Source organism: Homo sapiens, chromosome 21, assembly GCF_000001405.40.
Source record: "Homo sapiens chromosome 21, GRCh38.p14 Primary Assembly".
NCBI classification, from domain to species: Eukaryota; Metazoa; Chordata; class Mammalia; order Primates; family Hominidae; genus Homo; species Homo sapiens.
This window is the reverse complement of record NC_000021.9, coordinates 43,517,716-43,539,303: the sequence shown is the minus strand read 5'-3', so window position 1 is coordinate 43,539,303 and position 21,588 is coordinate 43,517,716. Positions and strand designations below refer to the sequence as shown.

The window sequence follows — 21,588 nt, the reverse complement described above, 5'->3', positions numbered from 1 at the left end:
GCAGGTTGTAAATTGTTTTTTATCAGACCTAAAAGGGTGCCTGGCTCTTAATTGATTATCTCCTGGATCTGCAAAGAAAGGAAGGAAAATAAAAGAGGAAGGGGATTCTCTGTAGAATGTGGATTTTTCCCACAAAAGACTTTGCAGGGCAATTTCAGGGCATGGCAAGGAAATATATTTTGGAGTTAAATATTTTGTCCTTGTCTCATAATGTTATGCCAGAGTCAGATTGAAAAGTAAGTCACAATATATAGGGTCAAATACAACTCATCTGATGAGAATCCATGGTTTGTAGGGCATGACTCCCCAGACCCCTTAGGTAGGAATTTGGGCAAGATTTAAAAAATCGGAGCTTAGTTCTCAGCATGTTGGAGCTGGAATTGCTCTACTGAGTGAGATTTGAAAGGAGCAAGACATGTGAAGATTGGGGCAGGAACATTCTGGTTAAGAAAATGCAGAGCAGGCTGGCGCTCCTGGGGCATGGTGCAGATGGATGAGTGATACGAGGGGAACGCCGGGAAGCAGGAGGGCTTGATCTGGCGGGGCTTCATCAGCCAGAACGAGGACTTGGGTCTCCATCATGAGTGCAGTGAGGATCTGTGGGAGAGCAGGGAAGGTGTGTATTCTGATTTCTGTTTAAAAAGTTTAAAATACAAAAATTAGCTGGGCATGGTGGCATGTGCCTGTAGTCTCAGCTACTCGGGAGGCTGAGGCAGGAGAATCACTTGAACCTGGGAGGCGGAGGTTGCGGTGAGCTGAGATCATGCCACTGCACTCCAGCGTGGGCAAGAGAACCAGACTCTGTCTCAGACAAAGAAAGAAACAAACAAACAAACAGTTTAATTCTAGCTGCAGCATGGCAGATGGATAGGGGTAGGAAGAGGCAAGAATGCAAAATTAAATAAGCAAGCCACCAAGAAGGCTATTACAGTAGTCTGGGGGAAGCAGGATAGCTTAGACTAGGGTGGTGGTTATGGGCTTAGGGCGTGTTGGGAGGTAGAGTTGATAAGATGTGATGTGAGAGAAGAGACGAATCAATAACAATACCTGCCATCTTTGGGTGGGTAAATGGTAATGCTGTTTACTGAGAATACCTGCATCTTTGGGTGGGTAAATGGTAACGTTGTTTACTGAGATGGGGAAGATGAGGCAGGAGCACAGAGAATCAGGAGTTGGGTGTTGGCCTTGTGAAACCTGAGTTGGCAGTAAATTCCCAAGGGGAGTTGTCCAGGCAAGTTTTTGTGGCTATGAAGTCTGGAATTCCAGGGAAAGGCTGGGGTTGGAGAAATGGATTTAGAGTCACTGGTAGATACATGGGATTTGAAGTCATGGAGTAGACGAAGTCACCTAAGGAGAGTAGAAAGAGAAGGAAGCCTAGGACAGAGCCCTGGGCTAGCATCTAAAGGAGAAGTATAAGGAGGGACTGGTGAAGGAGTGCTATGGAAGCCAAGAAAAGCCAGAGGAGTCAAGTGAGACGAAAGCTGAGCAGTGACAACATGGAGGACATTGGTGACCTTGAGAGAAGCTGTCTCAGCAGTGAGCAGATGGTAGCGTGACTGAAGGGTGAAGGTGAGGTGGGGCGGTAGCAACAACAGACCACTCTTGTAATATTCCTGGGAAGGGAGTCAAGAACTGGGCAGAACTGGAGGCCAGTTTGGGGTCAAGGAAGATTTTTTTTTTTTTTTTGCCTTCTTGTTCTTTGAAGCTTGTAAGAATGGGCTTATGTTGCTGCTCGATGACTCCATGTTCCTAGGTGCTCAAGGAGCCTGGGGCATTGCCTAAGATGTGGCTGACATGGTCCAGAATCCATATGTGCTTTGGAGGTGGCCAGGAAGCCCATAGGAGGAGGGAATGCTCAGTGTGTGCCCTGAGAGCTTTGCCACTGTCAGAAAGCACCTGACAGGAACAAGTTTGATTGTATTTGACACATGCCGGCACTACCACAGAAAGTTTTAGCAACAGATAAGAGGGGACATCTGTACTCTCAACTTCTTTTTTCATACTTCCTATTGAAGTTTTCATCTCTACTCTCAGGCATTTAATTTCTAAGACTGCTGTTTATTTTTAATTGTCTTAAAAAATAGCATCCCATTCTTGTTTAACAGATGATATAGCTTCTTTTACCTCCTTGAGGAAGATATTAATAATAGTTTTTTAAAACTTTTCTTCTCACTGCACAATCTCTTTTCTTTGTCCTCCTTTTGTTCCTGTTTAAAATGATAGCCATTTATCTTTTTCTCAGGTGTCTGGTGATGTGTGGTTGTCTGGTCATGTTTAACAGTGGGATTTATAATGCCGATTGGAAGCTGTGAGCATATGGGTGGAGCTTCTGAACTTTTCTGCAGTGTGAGCTGGTGCATCAATTAATTGGGAACCCATAGGTCAGTATCTTCGACTGTGTTGTCTTGGGTTGTTCAGATTGTCTGGAGAAGACTCACCCACCCTTATTTCTGGAGGGATGAAGGCCTATAAACTCCGGAAACAAAGTAGAGATAGAGGGAATGTCTTAGAGCTTGTAGGTATGTGTTTATCTAATCCACATGTTTTCCAGACAGAACCTCCATCCTCAATTGTGCCTGATGTTTCACCTCCAGAGATTCTTTAGAAAATAAATGTCCAGGCCAGGTGGGGTGGTTCACACCTCTAATCCCAGCACTTTGGGAGGCTGAGGTGGGCGGATCACCTGAGGTCAGGAGTTCGAAACCAGACTGGCCAACATGATGAAACCCCGTCTCTACTAAAAATATAAAAATTAGCTGGGTGTGGTGGCAGGTGCCTGTGATCCCAGCTACTCAGGATGCTGAGGCAGGACAATCACTTGAACTGGGAGGCGGAGGTTGCGGTGAGCTGAGATTACGTCACTACACTCCAGCCTGGGTGACAGAGTGAGACTCTGTCTCACAAAAAAAAAGAAAAGAAAAGAAATGTCCAGTCTCTACTAGGGAAGGGCATTTTTCCAGAGGCAGGGAATAGGGGAGAGGGTCCAGGGATCTAATTTCTTATTATTATTTTTATTTTTTTTTAGTTTTGAGATGCAGTCTTAACTCTGTCGCCCAGGTTGGAGTGCAATGGCGTGATTTCAGCTCACTGCAACCTCTGCCTCTGGGGTTCAAGTGATTCTCCTGCCTCAGCCTCCCAGGTAGCTGGGATTACAGGTGCCTGCCATGACACCTGGCTAATTTTTGTATTTTTAGTAGAGACAGGGTTTCACCATGTTTTTCAGGCTGGTCTCGAACTCCTGACCTTAGGTGATCCACCTACCTTGGCCTCACAAAGTGCTGGGATTACAGGCGTGAGCCACCAAGCCTGGCCTTCTTCTTATTTTTAATATAAAGCCAGATTTGTTGAGTTATAATTTACATAGAACAAAATTCACTTGTTAGTAGACAATTGTATGAGTTGTGACATAAAACTATCTCAGCATATAACTCATATGCTGAGTTATGTGGTAAGTATGTGTTTAAATGTATAGGAAATTGCCAAATTGTTGTCTCAGGTGGTTGTACCATTTTATTTATTTTATTTTATTTTATTTTATTTTATTTTATTATTTTATTTTATTTTATTTTATTTTATTTTATTTTATTTTATTTTATTATTTTATTTTATTTTATTTTATTTTATTTATTTTATTTATTTTTGAGACAGAGTCTCGCTCTATTGCCCAGGCTGGAGTGCAGTGGCACGATCTCGGCTCACTGCAACCTCCACCTCGTGGGTTCAAGTGATTCTCCTGCCTCAGCCTCCCAAGTAGCTAGGATTACAGGCGTGCACCACCACACCCAGCTAATTTTTGTATTTTTAGTAGAGATGGGGTTTCACCATGGAGGCCAGGCTGGTCTCAAGTTCCTGACCTCAGGTGATCTGCCTGCCTCAGCCTCCCAAAGTGTTGGGATTACAGGCGTAAGCCACTGCGCCTGGCCTGGCAGTACCATTTTAAATTTTCACCACTAATCTATGAACATTCCAGTTGTTCCTCATTCTTGTCAACACTTGGTATTTTCAGATTTTTATTTTTTAATTTTAGCCATTCTAATAGGTATGGATTTAATTTCCATTTTTCTAATAGCCATGATGCTGAGCATCTTTTTGTGTGCTTGCCATTTGTGTATCTCCTTTGGTGAAGTGTCTTTTCAAACACTTTCCCTATTTTTATTGGGCTGTTGTGTTACTGAGTTTTCAGAGATGTATGTGTATTCTGGATTTAGGTCCTTTATCAGATACGTGTTTTGCAAATGTTTTGTCCTCATCTAGTGGCTTGTCTTTTCATTGTGACTGTCTTTTGAAGAGCAGATTTTTAAAATTTTGGTGTGGCTAATAAATTATTTAGTTGTATGGATTATGCTTTTGGTTTTGTGTCTAGGAAATTGTTACCTAATTCAAGGTCACAAAGATTTTTCTCCTGTTTTCTTCCAGAAGTTTTAAAATTTGGGGTTTTACATTTAGGTATGTTATTAATTTTTGTATAATTTTTGTATGTTAGGCAAGGTATAGATTGAAGTTCTTTGTTTTTGCATATGGATGTTCAATTTTTCCAGCACCATTTGTTGTAAAGGTTATTCTTTCTTGATTGAATTGAATGTATACCTTTGTTGAGAGTTCACAAAGCTGTGGTCTGTTTTTGGATCCTCTAATTTTATTTCACTTATCTCTTTGTCTGTCGCTCTGTCACTTGACCAGTACCACACTCTTTATGGCCATAAATGTTGAAATCTAGTACTGCAATTCCCCAACATTTCTCTTTCTCTAAATTGTTTTGTCTGGTCTAGTTCCTTTGTTTTTCCAAATAAATTTGAGAATTACTTGTTGATTTCTGCTAAAATTTCAACTTGGATTTTGGTTGGCATTGCATTGATTATATAGATGAATTTGAGGAGATTTGACATTTTAACAATATTGAGTCTTCTAGTCCATAAATATGGCATATTCTCTCCATCTATATGTCTGTGGATCCTTATATCTGTGTTTTGTTGTTTTCAGCATAGAAATCTTGCACATAGTTTCATGAGATTTATACTTAAGTGTTTCATGTTTTGGTGCTATTATATAATATATGGTAATTTTTAAAAAACATTAGATTTTTAATTTTTTGTTATAAGTATGTGGATACAATTGACCTTTGTATGTTGAATTTGTATTCTGTGACTTTGCTAAACTCAATTAGTTCTAATAACTTTTTTTCTAGTTTCTTTGGGATTTTCTGTATAGACAATCATATCATCTGCAAATAGAGACAGTTTCATTTCTGCCTTTCTAATCAATAAACCTTTTATTTCTTTTTCTTGCCTTACTGCACAGGCTAGGATCTCTAGTATGATTTTGAATAGGGGTGATAGGATATTCTTGCCTTGTACGTCATCTTAGGAAAGAAGCATTCAGTCTTCTATCATTAAGTATGATGTTAGCTGTGTGTTTTTTGTAGATGCCCCTAATCTGGTTCAGGATGTTCCTTTTTATTCCTGTTTTGTTGAGGGTTTATTATTATTATTACTGTTATGAACAGATGTTGAATTTTGTCAAAAGGCTTTTCTGCATTTATTGAAGAGATAATTTTTTTTTTCTTCTTTAGTCTGTTGTTACGGTAGGTGATGTTGACTGATTTGCAAATAATGAGCCAGCCTTCCATTCCTAGAATAAGTGTCTATTGGCTGTGAAGTATTATCCTTTTTATATATTGCTGAATGCAATTTGCTATTTTTTTGTTTAGGATTTTCGTGTCTTTGTTTATGAGGGATATTGGTCTGTTCTTTTATTTTAACATCTTTATCTAGTTTTGGTGTCAGTGTAATTCTGGCCTCATAAAAAAAAGTTGACTTATTTCCTCCTTTTCTGTTTTCTGGAAGACTTGTTTAAAATTTCTATTATTTCTGTTCTAATTTTTTGATAGAATTTGACAATGAAGCTCTCTGAAATGTTATACATTGCATGACTGTTTACCTTTAAATAATAATCCGCTGCTTCAGGTATAGTGTAAGTACCTTAAAACAGTGTTTTCCCATCTATTGATCATATTTATTTCAGATTCTTTTTCTGAAATTCCTGTATTATTATTCCAGGTTATCTGTGTGTCTGCTTCTGTTGATTGTCACTTGACAATGAGCCTTTTGTTTCCTTTGCCTTCTTTTGTTTGTTTGTTTGTTTGTTTGTTTGTTTGTTTTTGAGACAGAGTCTCACTTTGTTGCCCAGGCTGGAGTGCAGTGGCGCAATCTCAGCTCACTGCAACCTCTGCTTCCTGGGTTCAAGGGATTCTCCTGCCTCAGCCTCCTGAGTACCTGGGATTACAGGCGTGCGCCACCACACCCAGCTAATTGTTATATTTTTAGTAGAGATGGGGTTTCACTATGTTGGCCAGGCTGTTCTCAAACTCCTGACCTCGTGATCCGCCCGCCTTGGCCTCCCAAAGTGCTGGGATTACAGGTGTGAGCCACTGCGCCTGGCCTCCATTGCCTCTTCATTGTAATTTTTGATTTCAGTGTTGGACATTGTGTGGAGGGCAGTAGGCAAGGTCAAAAAACTTTTTCTGTAATGGGCCAAATAAATATTTTGAGTTTTGAGAGCCACGTGTAGTCCCTGTTGCATGTTATTCTTCTGGTTTTTACTTTTAAAAAATTACCCTTAAAAAATGTAAAACCTGGCAGGCTGCAATGGTTCATGCCTCTAATTCTGGCCCTTTGGGAGACTGAGGTGGAAGGATTGCTTGAGCCCAGGGGTTTGATACCAGCCTGGGCAGTGTGGTGAGACACCGTCTCTACAAAAAAATGTGAAAAATTAACTGGGCGTGGCCACATGTTCTGTGGTCCCTCTTTCTTGGGAGGCCGAGGTGGGAGGATGGCTTGAGCCCAGGAGATTGAGACTGCAGTGAGCCATGATTGTACCAGAGTACTCCAGCCTGGGAGACAGAGCAAGACCCTGTCTCCAAAAGGAGGAGGAGGAGGGGGGGGGGAGGAGGAGGTGGTGGAGGAGGAGAGGAGGGGGGGGGAGGAGGAGGAGGAGGAGGAGGAAAGAAGAAGAAGAAGAAGAAAAAAAAAGTAAAACCATTCTTAGCTTGCAGGCTGTACAGAAACGGGTCATGGGCTACCTTTGGCCTCTGGGCCATGCGTACCCTCTCTGTAGAGGGGAATGAGGTGGGTAGATAGTGTTATATTCAGGAATGGCCACTCCTCTTTTTCCGCTGGGTTTTCATTGTTGGGGAGTTAAGGTGGGTCTGGGTTTTGTTGTTGTGTATGTACCTTCCATCCCACTGGCTTCAAATTCCTCTAACCTTTCCTTGAGCTTAGGATGAGGGCTGAGTTGCCAAAGCGTCTTCACCCATGGCTTTTGGCCTTGCCTCTGTGTCTGCCTTAGCTGCCCCTTATCTTTGGCAGGTCTCTACTAGAGAAAGTTCCCCTCCCTTCCCCCAAAGTAGGAGGACTCTAACAGGCTGGCTTAAGATGGCTCCTGGACCCTCCCTGAGGGCTAGAGCAGATTGCCTTTTATCTTCCCTGGCCACAGCAGTCTTCTGATTCTGTAGGTGAGAAGCTTCTTGTTAGGGCTTAGTGCTGTGGCAGCTCCCACTGAGAGACTGTTCAGTCTGCTCTTTCAGTCTACATCTTAAAAGGTTTTTTTTTAATTTTTTTATTTGTTAAGTAAATGTGCTAAGAAAGAGGTGCTGATTTTGAGCCTGGTTCCAGTTGCAGTACCCAGTCAAGGAGTGAATTTACGGCATCGTAAAGGCTGCCAGTAGAGAGGAATGGTAAGGAAAGTTGGCTCCACTCTGGTGATGGATTGAAGCTTCCAGTGGGTTTGTCTAGCTATTTTTTAGTGGTTGCTACAATGTATGCAAGGCTACCAGATTCTATAAGTCCTGGGGCCATTCCCATGGAAAATAAACAACGTGAATTTTATATACCCAGTGACATTGTGTAAACTCAGTGGCCCTGATAAGTGCTGTATCTGTATGTGGTCCCTGAGGGATTTGCTGCAATTGGAGTGAAAAAGAAGTAATACTTTTTAAAACAATCTTATAAGTGGACAGAATGCTACTGTCGACAAAGAGTCAAACTCTGCAAAATATTTGAAGAGATTTGTTCTGAGCCAAATATGAGTGAGGTCCTGAGAACATGTGCCCAAGGTAGTTGGGTGCGGCTTGGCTTTATACATTTTAGAGAGGTGTGAGACATCAATCAAAAACATTTAAGAAATACATTGGTTTGGTCCAGAAAAGTGGGACAAAGCTGGGGGGCGTGGGGCTTCCAGGCTATAGGTGAATTTAAACATTTTCTGATTGATAAAGACCTGGGATTGATAGAAAGGGAATGTTCAGGTTAAGGTAAAGATTGTGGACATCCAAGTTCTTTTGAAGTCTTATGGTGGCTGCCTTAGAGACAATAGATGACAGATGTTTCCTATTCAGATCTTAGTTAATCTCTTTAGGATTAGGAGGGTCTCGAAGAAAAAGATCTAGCTATGTTAGTAGAGATTCTTTACAAATGCAGATTTTCCCCCACAAAGAACAGCTTTGCAGGGCCATTTCAAAATATGGCAAAGAAACATATTTTGGGGTAAAGTATTTTTATTTTCTTTCTTGTCTCATAATGTTATGCCAGAGTCAGGTTGGAAAGTCATGATATATAGGGTTAAATAAAACCCATCTGATGAGAATTTGTGATTTGTAGGACATGACTCCCCAGACCCCTTAGATAGGAATTTGGGCAAGATAAAAAAAATCAGAGTTTAGTCCTCACTAGCAAACAGAGAAAGCCCTCATCTTTCTAGTTTAACACTTTAAAATTGTATGACTGTAATATTTGAAGATGATGGTTATTAGACTATTGAGTTTTTTGATGCTGCTTTTATGAGCTAAGCTTTTATATCAAGCAGTGACTGTGTTTCTGGGTTATCCTGTAGTTTTCTAAACTGTCAAACGTGTTATTCAGAAAGGCCAGGAACCCCTTGAGGGGTAGATTGCAGTAGAACATTTTATTCTAGGCCAGGCGCGGTGGCTCACGCCTGTAATCCCAGCACTTTGGGAGGCCAAGGTGGGTGGATCACTTGAGGTTAGGAGTTCGAGACCAACCTGACCAATATGATGAAACTCCATCTCTACTAAAAATACAAAAAATTAGCGAGGCATGGTGGCACACACCTGTTATCTCAGTTACTTGGGAAACTCCTGCCTCAGTTACAGAGGAAAGCTGAGGCAGGAGAGTCTCTTGAGCCTGGGAGGCGGAGGTTGCAGTGAGCAGAGATCATGCCACCGCACTCCAGCCTGGGTGACAGAGCGAGACTCTGTCTCAAAAAAATAAAACAAAAAGAAAAAAGAAAATTTTATTCTAACCAGAAGCATTACCTCTTTTCCCTAGATCCAGATGCAGAGGTGTGCCTTCATGTACTGAGGCTTGTCCAGTCTGTGGTTCTGGAACCTGAAGTCTTCTCCAAGTCGGCCTCTGAGTTCCGGAGCTCCCTGCCCCTGCAACGCATCCTGGCAATGTCCAAGAGCCGCAACCCCCGCCTGCAAACCGCAGCCCAGGAGCTCCTGGAAGATCTCCGCACTCTGGAGCATAATGTGTAGGTGTGCTCGGCCACCAGGGTTTTGGTGAAAATGCCGGTGTCCCTTCTCCCCAGATCCCTCATTTGATACTCCAAAACCATCACCATGTACCATGTGTTAGAGTTGGCAAAATGTGATTGACTAGAGATGGACATGAATTGATATGTATCCCACATAACTTTGTCTTGGAAGTGAGAGTGCTTGTAGGTGGTTGGTTAAGCTTGCCAAAGGAGAGGCCATGAAAGAACCTGTCCTTCTGGAAAAGTGGTCCATGTCTGTGCTGGCTGGAAGAGGGCTTGCTTAGGGCAGCTTCTTGCTGCTCAGCAGACCATGACCTGTAGGTTCACCTATAAAACAGGGAAATTGAATAACCATCTACCCCATTAGTCAGCATTTTCTTGAGATACATTTCTTTGAAAAGCAATTCATTCTCTCTCTAGTAATTGTAATTAATCCCCCCAAAATGCAAGTTTACTTTTATAACCTTTTGGTGAACCTGCTATTTCGGATGACATTGGGCATTTTAGTTCTATATTTTTTGTGCCTCTTTTATTTTTGAATAAAGAAAATCAGAAGAGTTGTATTACGACCCTTGCTGTCTAAAATCTAAACTTGATATTAGGAAGTTAGATTTCTGCATATTACCATGCTACTCTTGGTTGGTGGAAAAAAAACTCTTCCTTAAACTGTTCTGGGCCCTTTGGCTATAAACTTAGAAGTCCTATTTTTCTTATAACAAATGCTGTAAAAACAACTTGTATAATAGATTAGAACACATGCAGTTAGTTGAGATTCCATAAATGAAATGATAGTTCCAGCTCCCTTTTTGTGCATGGGTGTGCCTGTATGCCAGGGCCCTGCCATGTCTGTGTTATCTACCTACTGGTTGCCATCCAGCTTGTTTTCTAGGCCACTGGCAGAGAGCAAGGGAGAATACACTTCATTTCTCATGGACACCATGATTGGTGAGAGTTGCCTTTTGTATTAGTCTGCTTTCACACTGCTGTAAAGAAATGCCTGGGACTTGGTAATTTATAGAGGAAAGAGGTTTAATTGACTCACAGTTCACTGTGGCTGGGGAGGTCTCAGGAAACTTACAATCATGGTTGAAGGGGAAGCAAGGCACCTTCTTCTCAAGGTGGCAGGAAGGAGAATGAATGCAGGAGAACCTACCAAATATTTATAAAACCATCAGCTCTCTTGAGAACTCACTATCACGAGAACAGCATGGGGGAAACCGCCCCCATAATCCAGTCACCTCCACCTGGTCTCTCCCTTGACACATGGGAATTATGGGGATTATAATTCAGGATGCGATATGGGTGGGGACGCAAAGCGTAACCATGTCACCATTTAAATCAATCCTTAAAGTCACGTCACGTGAACACATTCCCTTCTTTTCCTGGGCTGCTTCCTTCGGTGTGATGCTGGAGGGCTGCTGGGCTCTGGGCATGCTGTAAGAGCAAAACAAATGCAGGTGCACCCCACCAGTGGCAGCCCCATCTACAAGAATAAGCTGTTTTGTTGCATATGGCATTTTAGAGTAACTTCATTTTTCTTTTAAGTACATTTTTATAGGCAGTGTGCAATTTAAGGCTGAGGCTGAGTGAAGAAGTGTAGAGGAAGGCACAGTTGCTTGGATTTCACGAGCCAGCATATTGTGGAACACTAGCTCATCTGAGCCAGAGGAATGTTGCAAAAGGCAATTTAAAATTCATGGAGGCAGAAATCGATCCATCTGTGCTGTGTGGTTCTGTAGGTCCTGATTATTGGTGAATAAAATTAAGAATGTTGTGTTTCTATACTTAATAGCATGGTGCTATCTTCTTTTTGATTGCTATTTATTTAATAAGGTAATGGGGAATGCTGCCTCTAGAACTACAGGACCTCTTTCTGCCAGAGATGGGGTCAACAGTGTATAGAGAGGAGTGAGCGTTGGCCAGACTCTTGGATGTTGTGTAGTTTAGCTAATTAGTGGATGGATGTGTTTAAGAAGGATCATTTCTTTTCTCCTGATTTTGAGGTGCTAAGAATAGCAAGAGTTCTTACGAAAACTCTTTTAGGAAGAAACATGTGACAACTCCATATTTTGAATGTATATCCTAGGAAAAGTACATAAGGCCAGTTTTAAGGAGTGATCTGCCTCCTGCTCTTCATATGAAGGTCAACAGGAAAACACAGGTTCTTTAATTTTTCTACAACTAGTTATCTAAAGAAAACCTACTCAGTTTTTTAAAAGGTATTCATAAAAAGCATGTACTTTGCAGATCTCGTGAATTTTAAAATCAGACAAAGTAAAATAGTGCATATATTTTGAAATGTTTGTTTGTTTGTTTGTTTAAATGGAGTTTCGCTTTTGTTGCCCAGGCTGGAAGCGCAGTGGTGCGATCTTGGCTCACTGCAACCTCCGCCTCCTGGGTTCAAGCAATTCTCCTGCCTTAGCCTCCTGAGTCACTGGAATTACAGGCACCCGCCACCAGGCCTAGTTAATTTTTGTTACTTTTAGTAGAGATGGGGTTTGGCCATGTTGGCCAAGCCGGTGTTGAACTCCTGATCTCAGGTGTTCCACCCGCCTCGGCCTCCCAAAGTGCTGGGATTACAGGCATGAGCCATGGCACCCGGCCTATATTTTTATTTTTTGACACAAGAGTCTTGCTTTGTCGCCCAGGCTGGAGTGCAGTGGCTCCATCTCGGCTCACTGCAGCCTCCGCCTCCTGGGTTCAAGCGATTCTCCTGCCTCAGCCTCCTGAGTAGCTGGGATTACAGGCGTACACCACCATGCCTGGCTAATTTTTGTACTTTCAGTAGAGACATGTTTTCACCATGTTGTCCAGGCTGGTCTAAATTCCAGATCTCAAGTGATCCGCTCACCTCGGTCTCCCAAAGTGCTGGGATTACAGGCGTGAGCCACCATGCCCAGCGTTGAAATGTAATTTTAACAGAATTCCTCTTACATTTATTAAGTTAAGGAACTATTTTTCTCCTTGGTACCATCAGTTTGTATGTAAAGGTGTGAAACCTGGCAGGCCCGACGTCAGACTTGACTCCCTCCTTCCTCACCCCTTCCCCCACATGGCTCCGAGCATTCCTCTTGCTGTCTGGCAGCTCATTAACCATCAGAGCTGCTTTCTCTTCAGTCCGAAAAGAGCAAATCCTTGTTCTGACGGAGAGCAATATGGAGACTTCGTGGGGGGCTTTGGAGACCCATGCCTCCTCGTGGCATAGCTTGGGATAAGCCTCATGCCACAGAGTTCTTCTAGTTCCCTACAGTTATATCGCCTGTGCCATTCACTCATTCCAGAGGATTTTAAAGTTAATTAAAGTACCAAGCATAGGATCACAGGTCTGGAGCCTGAAGAAAATTAGACCAAGGCTGGAAGTCAGGCCGGGGTCAAGGAAGTGTTGATGAAAAGAGTCAAACTCTGTAAAATATTTGAAGAGACTTATTCTGAGCCAAATGTGAGTGACCAATGGCCTGTGACACAGCCCCAGGAAGTTCTGGGAACATGTGCCCAAGGTGGATGGGCCACAGTTCGGTTTTATGCATTGTAGGGAGACATAAGACATCAATCAATAGATGTAGGATGTAAGATACATTCGTTTTGTCTGGAAAGGCGGGACAATTGGAGGGGGCGGGGGGCGTGTTCCAGGTCATAGGCAGATTCAAAGATTTTCTAATCGGCAATTGGTTAAAAGAGTTAAGTTATTATCAGAAGACCTGGAATCCCTAGGAGGGAGCATCTGTTGTGGAGACCAAGGTTTTTATTATGCAGATGAAGCCTTCAGGTAGCAGGCTTCAGAGAGAATAGATTGGAAATGTTTCTTACCAGACTTAAGGTACCAGACTCTTAGTTAATTCTCTCCTGGATCAGAGAAGAGGAAAAGGATTCTCTACAGAATGTAGATTTTTCCCCACAAGAGACAGCTTTGCAGGGCCCTTTCAAAATATGTCAAAGAAATGTATTTTTGGGTAAAATATTTTGATTTCTTTCATGGCCTGGTGTCTGTCATGTGATGCTATACTAGAGTCAAGCTAGAATTTGGTGTCTGATTGCAACAAAAAGTCTCAAGATCTCTGTTTTAATGTTTATACCAGTCAGTTGTACCTGAATTCCAAAGGGAGGAGGGCATAATGAGGCATGTCTGACCTCCACGTCCCATCATGACATAATGAGGCATGTCTGACCTTCACTTCCCATCACGGCCTGAACTAGTTTTTCAGGCCAACTTTGGAAGGCCCTTGGCTGAGAGGAGGGGTCCATTCAGATGGTTGAGGGGCTTAGAATTTTATTTTTGGTTTACAGAGGTTTTGAATAAAGCTTGTAAATGTGCCTGCCCATTCCATTGATTCGGCTGGACCTGCCATTAGCTATTTTGCCACACGTTAATATAAATGGAAAAGGTTGATAAAAACTTTTGCAGACTTACTAATTTCTGAGAAGTCCTGAAGTTTGTTCTGTTTTCTTCCATGGCATAGATGCTGAGAATGCCTCAGAACTTCTCCAACCAGTGTAGGATCCTGAGTATAGACCCTGATGTAGTGTAGGATGTGGCATCCTATAGGGCATTGAAAGGTCTTTGGATGCTTTTTGAGTCCAGGCTCAGGTAAGAAGGGCAAGAGATAACTGGTACACCTCTGTCTTCACAAACTCTCATCTTTAAGAGCCATGGCTGCCTCTCTGCTCTGAGAATGCACACATTTAAATTTATCTCCAGATGTAGACTAAGAAATCGGAGTCTTTGTGCTAATTAGTGCATGCTATGAGATGAAAAGTGTTGTTACTGTCCTTTTTAATTTGTAATTTTAAAAGTTTTAAAAATTGTTAAATATACCTAATATAAAATTTATGTTTTAACCATTTTAAAGTGAAGACTCAGTGGCATTAAGTATGTCATAGTGTTTTATAATCATTACCATTATCTATTTCTGAAACTTTTCTTCATTCCAAACAGAAACTCTGTACCCGTTATATAACAACACATTCCCTAAACCTTTCTCCCCTGGCCCCTAATATCTGCTCTTCTTTGTCTCCATGCATTTGACTACTCCACGCATCTCATAGAAGTACAGTCATATGATCTTTGTTCTTTTGGGTCTGGCGTATTTCACTTAGCATCGTGACCTCAAGGTTCATCCGTGTTGTAGCGTGTGTCAGAACTCGTTCCCTCTTCTGGCTGTATCATCCCATGTGTGGACACAGCACATTTCGTTCATTCATCCATCTGTTGAGGGACACTTGGCTTGTTTTCACCTTTTGGCTGTTGTTAATAGTATTGCTGTGAACATTGGGGTACAGGTATCTGTTTGAATTTCTGCTTTCAATTTTTTGGGGTGTGTACTTAGGAGTGAAATTGCTGAATCACATGGTAATTCTGTGTGTAGCTCTCTGAGGAACTGCCAACCGCTTTCCACAGCAGCCGCACCACTTTACATCCCCACCGGCAGCAGTGCCCAAGGGCTCCAGTTTCTCCACGTGTTCATCAACATTTGTTATTTTCTGTTTTATTGATAATAGCCATTGATAATGGGTGTGAAATGCATCTTATTGAGGTTTTCATTTGCATTTCCCTAATGACGAATAATGTTGAGCATCTTTCCTTGTGCTTATTGGCCGTTTGTATCTCTTCTTTGGAGAAAAGTCTATTCAGGGCCTTTGCCCATTTTTGAGTTGGGTTGTTTGCTTTCTGTTGTTGAGTTACAGGAGCGAACGCCTTATCAGATGTGGGATTTGCGGGTATTAACTCCTATTCTCTGGGCTTCTGCACTCTATTAATAGTGTCCTTTGATGTGCAAGAGTTCATTTTGGTTAAATCTAGTTTATTGATTTTTTTCTTTTATTGCCTGTGCTTTTGGTGTCATATCCAAGAAATCATTGTCAAATGTTTGGTCACAAGGATTTTCTCCTGTGTTTTCTTCTTCGTTTTATAGTTTTATCTCTTCAGTTTAGATCTTTGATCCATTTTGAGTCAATTTTTTTCATATCGTTCAGCTAAGGGTCCGGCATCATTCTTTTACATGTGGATATTTCAGTTTTCCCACCACTACTTGCTGAATTTTATAATTATTATTTGAAAATGGTATTACAAATGTGATTTTCAAAACTGAAACACTTATGAATACTATGCTCATATGCTCACCATATGTTTAAATTATTTGGTTTCATGAATAGCCTTTTTTTTTTTTTTTTTTTTTTTTTTTTTTGAGATAGGATCTCATTCTGTCACCAAGGCTGGAGTGTGATCTCGGCTCAATGCAGCCTCTGCCTCCTGGGCTCAAGTGATCTCCTGCCTCAGCCTCCAGAGCAGCTGGGACTCTAGGTGTGTGCCACAATACCTGGCTAATTTTCTGTATTTTTTGGGGGAGATGGAGTTTCACCATGTTGTCCAGGCTGGTCTCTAACTCCTGGACTCAAGTGATCCACCTGCCTCAGTTCCCCAAAGTGCTGGGATTACGGGCATGAGCTACTGCACCTGGCCATGAATAGCCTTTATTATAGGATTTTATATTGTTCCAGTGGAGCTCCCTAAGTTGCTGCTTTTCCCGCCATAAATGTACATTTAATGCTCTTAGATCATACTCAGCACAAAATGACTGTTAGCTGGAAAAATGACTCCCACTCACATAGTCTATTATATTTTTTAATTGAAGTCATACTTGCAGCCCAACTTTTCAGGTTAAATGGTGTTATGCAAAATATTACTGTTTCGATGTCTGAGAGCAGTGCAGGCTTTGGGAAGAAGTGCAAAGGCCCTGTAAGTGTGGGCTTGGTGTATGTTTGAAGGGCAGCAGAGAGTGCTCAGGTGCTGGCTGGGAGACCTCTCGCCTTGCTCTGTGCGATGACTGTGGGGCCTGGGGCAGGAGCAGCCTCTGATTCACACTTAAAAATGTAAAAAAAAAAAAAAAAAAAAGTGGAACCTGCTCTTAAGATTGTCAGATGACCACACTGTCAGCCTCTAGTCATCGCTGCCCTCCCCACCCCCAGCACCTCAAATGGCAAAAGTCCTCGAGACTGCTGAAGTGAGTTTCTTTCCAAACATGCCTCCCCAAGGTGAAGCTTTCACTCTCCCCACAGACTCCAGCCACACCCAGATCTGAGGCCCAAGTGTGCATGTTCTCACTGGATACTTTGCCCAGCTGCCATACACACACTTGGTCCTGCATAGCATGGGCTGACGTGAAGGTGATAGGTCCCTGCTGGAGTGGGGCCTGCCACCTGCCCACCGGGGAGGAAAGCATCTCCTCTGCCATCCTGTGCCTTCATGCTCAGTCGCTGGCACCAGCAGCCTTTCCTTTGGCCATGGCTCATACCTACTCTCTTTTTGGATCATAAGCCCTAGAACTGTGGTTCTTAGCTGTTACAGGGTCATGGGCCACTCTGAGAATCTGAGAAACCTTCTGTATACAAAAGTGTATGGACATGCTTATCTGATGTTTCATCTGCAGTTTCTGGGAGTTTGTAGGATTCCCCCCAGGATCATTTACTTTTTGGTAAGGAGCCGTTTGCCCTGGGCTTGTGGAATTTGTGTGGCCTAGTGTAGTACCAGGCACATAACCAGGCACTTGAGCATTGAAAGCATTTAATGATGTCTATGACACTGTAAGGCGTCCCACATTAACGGTAGTCCCATAGCTGAAAACAAAGCATTGGCTTCCTGGTGGCAGTTCAGAACCTCTGCCTGATTTCCTTCAGCTCAGTCAGTCCTCACGGCCACCCCGTGAGGTCGGCATCACCAGCCACACTCTGCAGGTGAGGATACTGGACTCTAGTGACAGAGTTGCGGTTACAGTCTGTGCCTCTTGGTGTCACCTCCCTTTCCCTGGGCCCGTAACCTCATCTAGGGTCCTTTGCCTTCAGGCCAGTGTCTGTCCTGCGCCTGGGCATTTGCAGTTCTGGCGATGAGCTGCTTCACCCCCTGGCAGAGGGTCTGCAGCCTCTCTGGCCAATGTGCCACTCTGCTGCCACCAGCAGGCCCATGGGGTCAAGAGGGTGGGAAGAGAATGGGAAGTAGTTGGTGTGGTGGGGGGCAGTAACCCCTGCTCCCCACCAGGCTGGTATTGAGACAAGATGTGCTGATAAGTGACAGGCTCCTGTGGCTGCCTGATCACACAATAACATTGAGAAAGAAGAGGGAGAGTTGGCCGGGTGTGGTGGCTCACCCCTGTCATCCCAGCACTTTGGGAAGCTGATGCGGGTGGATCATTTGAGGCCAGGAGTCCAAGACCAGCCTGGCCAACAACAGGAAACCCTGTCTCTACTAAAAATACAAAAATTAGGTGGGCATGGTGGCACATGCCTGTTGTCCCAGCTACTCAGGAGGCAGAGGCAGGAGAATCGCTTGCACTGTGGAGGCAGAGGTTGTAGTATGCCGAGATCACACCACTGAACTTCAGCCTGGGCAACAGAGCAAGACTTCGTCTCAAAAAAAAAAAAAAAAAAAGAAAAGAAAAGAATAGGGAGAGACAGAGATTAATTATCAATATCAAAAGCCTTGATTTTTAAAAGGTTCTGTTCAGTATCTGCAGCAGTTTATAAAATTATCATTCCTGTCTCCATGAGCTGCATGCTCAGGTATCACTACAACCTATCTTACCTTGCTTAGAATCATTGAGTAGTCCTCTCTTTCAGTCTTTTATTTTAGATTCCACAGAGCTGAGACAAACCAGGGCAGGAGCAGGACAAATTCTCCCTGCTCTAGGCCAGAAAGCCAGCACAGGACATTGCTAGGCTTAGAGTTAACAGGACCTCTCCCTTGGAGATGTCCCCTGCTCTGGGCAGGCAGGTGGTCACAGCCCAGGGCTGACATGACCAAGCCAGAATGGGCAGGGAGAGGGGCAGGTAAGAGCATACCTTGCAATAGCGGGTGCTTCTGCTTTGTTCTTTTCTTTTTGTTTTTTTTAGTCCAAATACTGATAGAAGAGAAATAAAGGGGCATCTGAAACTTAGACGAGGTTAAGATTACTTAAGGACAGAGTGGAGTGAGCCTACAATTCACAAAGTGTGTATTTTTGCTGGGAGCTGAAGCTCACCCGTTAGGCATCAGAGCTTTTTTTTGAAAGAACCATTTTAATGGAAATTCTTAAAAAATATATCGCATGCCTGCTCCTTTATACATTGTACTTGGAATATTTTCCTCTTCTTGATGAATCAGTGTCCTTCCCTCCACCACCCTCAGCCAGGGAAGTAAGTTTTCCAGAAACTTAGTACTACACTTTGGCATTTGAGCACACTTCCTTCAATTATGAGAGTAGAAGGCTGTTTTCTTACATTTGGATGAAATTTCTCACCTCTCTGTACCTAAGGTTCTGTGAAACTTGTTGTAAAGGGGCTGGGGGTGCATGTGTTGGCTTAGATACCTGTTCCTTAGAGGTAGTTTAGGTTTGGCCCTGAGCCCAGGGAAGGGGAGGCAGCACCTGAATGTCCCATGAGCTGTTGTGCTGCTTGGAGCAGCAGCCTCTGTGTGTGCCGTGTTGGGGTGTGTGTGCTGTATTTGGGGGTATGTGGGTGTGCTATGTTGAGGGTGGCAATCAGCAGACTGGGGCCTTTCTGTTCTCTCATCAGGTTGTGAACCCAAAAGTATCTGAGACTTGCCTCAATCAATTTAGAAGGTTAATTTTGCCAAGGTTAAGGATGAACCCGTGACACAGCCTCGGGAGGTCCTGACGACATGTGTCCAAGGTGGTCGGGCCACAGCTTGCTTTTGTACATTTTAGAGAGACATGAGTCATCAGTCAATATGTGTAAGAAGTACATTGGTTCAGTGCAGAAAGATGGCACGACTGGAAGCTGGGAGGAGTGGGAGGGCATTCCAGGTCATAGGTAAACAAGAGACAAAAGGTTGCATTCTTTTGGGTCTTTGATAAGCCTTTCACTGAATATACAATTTACATGTGAGAGGCAGGTAGAGAGGAATAGTCACTTATGCCTAAGCCTGGCTCAGTGAATCTGCACTTTTTTTTTTTTCGAGATGGAGTTTCACACTCTTGTCGCCCAGGCTGGAGTGCAGTGGCGCAATCTTGGCTCACTGCAACTTCTGCCTCCTGGGTTCAAGTGATTCTCCTGCCTCAGCCTCCCGAGTAGCTGGGATTACAGGCACGTGCCACCACGCCTGTCTAATTTTTAAAATATTTTTAGTAGACACAGGGTTTCACCATGTTAGCCAAGCTGGTCTCGAACTCCTGACCTCAGGTGATCCACCCGCCTCAGCCTCCCAAAGTGCCGGGATTATAGGCGTGAACCACTGTGCCCGGCCAAATCTTCATTTTTATACATAAACAATAGGGCAGAGGAAGCCATCAGATATGCATTTGTCTCAGGTGACCAGAGGGATGACTTTGAGTTCTGTCCTTTGTCCCATACCTGTGAAGATAACTTACCAATTTACATTGCCAGGGTGAAAATCAACAGAACTGTTTTAGGGTATAGATCTTGAGGCAAATTGTGAAGGAGGTATGTAGCTTTTTTTTAATCTTTGTAGCTATCTTATTTAGGAATAAAATGGGAGGCCTGACGCAGTTCCCAGTGTCAACAAAAAGAGTCAAACTCTCTAAAATATTTGAATAGATTTATTCTGAGCCAAATATGAGTGACCAGTGGCCCATGACACAACCCCAGGAGGTTCTGAGATCATGTATCCAAGGTGGATGGAGTACAGCTTGTACATTTTAGGGAGACATGAGACATCAATCAAATGCATGTAAATGTACTTTGGTTCGGTCTGGAAAAGCGGGACAACTGGAAGGTGGGGGCTTCCAACTCATAGGTAGATTCAAAGATATTCTGATTGACAGTTGGTTGAAAGAGTTAAGTTATTGTCTAAAGACTTAGGAATGTCTGGGTTAAGATAAGGGTTTGTGGAGACCATAGGTGAAGCCTCCAGGTAGCAGGCTTCGGAGACAATAGATTGTAAATGTTTCTTATCAGACTTAAAGACCCTATTCTATCAGTAATTCCAAAAGGGAAGAGGGTATAATGAGTCATGCCTGACTTCCCTTCCCATCATGGCCTGAACTTGTTTTTCAGGTTAGCTTTGGAATGCCCTTGCTGAGAGGAAGGGTCCGTTCTTGTCGGGGGACTTAGAATTTTATTTTTGGTTTACACCAGCTTGACTTTGCCCTTTGGCTTAGTGATTTTGGGGTCCCGAGATTTATTTTCCTTTCACAAAGTCTTCCTGGTCTTCAAGAAGGTGCCTTGAGAGCCCTTCCTTGTGCCGCCTTCTCCTCGGGGACCCCTGCCCCTGTGGCTGCAGTTTACCCTGGGTGGAAAAGGCACCCATGCCCAGGCTGGCTAGAGCCTCTGCCACTCAACTGGTTGGGCCTCCGTATTCCTTGGGTGCTGCTCCCACTACCTGTCCAAGCCACCCACCAGGGCCCCAGACTCCCCTAGCACTTCTCCTGGGCTGTGTCCTTCCCTGGAGGCTGCTGAGCTGCCCTGGACTCTCCCCACAGTCACACCACGGTGGGATCCACCCATAACCCCTGCCCTGACCCACAGACACTTATTGCCTGAATCAGGTGTGGACAGAGTTCAAGTTGTTTCAGTGATGTCCCTGGCAATTCAGTGGAGATGACCACAGATCTGTGTCTGTCTCTGTGTGTGTGTGTGTGTGTGTGTGTGTGTGTGTGTGTGTCTTTGTGTGTGACTGTGCCTCTGTGTGTGCCTATCTGTATGAGTCTGCATGTATGTGTGCATGTATGTCTGTGTGACTGTGCCTGTGAGTGTTGTTTCTGTATCTTGTCTGTATGTTTTTGTGTGTCTCTGTGTGCATCTCTCTCTCTGTCTGCGTCTCTGTGTGTGGGGACTGTCATACCTTCCTTCCCATGCTAAACATACCTGTGTCTTGACTCTAGTCCGGCAAGCTTCCCTCGCTACACCTCTGCCTCAACCCTAAGGAATTTGGCTGACACGCATACTAAGGTTTTCTAAGGGGGAGTTGGCTTTTGGCTGTGTGGGCTGGAACTAGGGTTTAGGGGAATGTTTGTCTCCCATTTGCTTCTGGCTCTGCACCCCCGTGTATGAGGGGGCAGGAGGGCACTGTGACTGCACCTCTCCCATGAGCCC

At 43.5% G+C, this 21,588-nt stretch overlaps 1 protein-coding gene across 17 annotated transcripts in view; it reads left to right on the top strand.

Moving 5' to 3' along the window:
- HSF2BP (heat shock transcription factor 2 binding protein) overlaps positions 1-21,588 on the top strand; it is a 214,517-nt gene that overhangs the window by 120,185 nt on the left and 72,744 nt on the right. For 11 of the 17 annotated variants that reach the window (XR_007067782.1, XR_007067781.1, XR_007067780.1 and 8 more), the window contains one exon: positions 9,342-9,546. Coding sequence is in view for 14 of the 17 variants with exons in the window: in XM_017028269.2 (XP_016883758.1) it covers positions 9,342-9,546 (205 nt within the window). In the remaining 3 variants the exon portion in view is untranslated. Of the gene's footprint in view, positions 1-9,341; positions 10,119-21,588 lie in introns of those variants that run through there. The other 6 variants (XM_047440678.1, XM_017028272.2, NM_007031.2 and 3 more) reach the window with 1 other exon arrangement.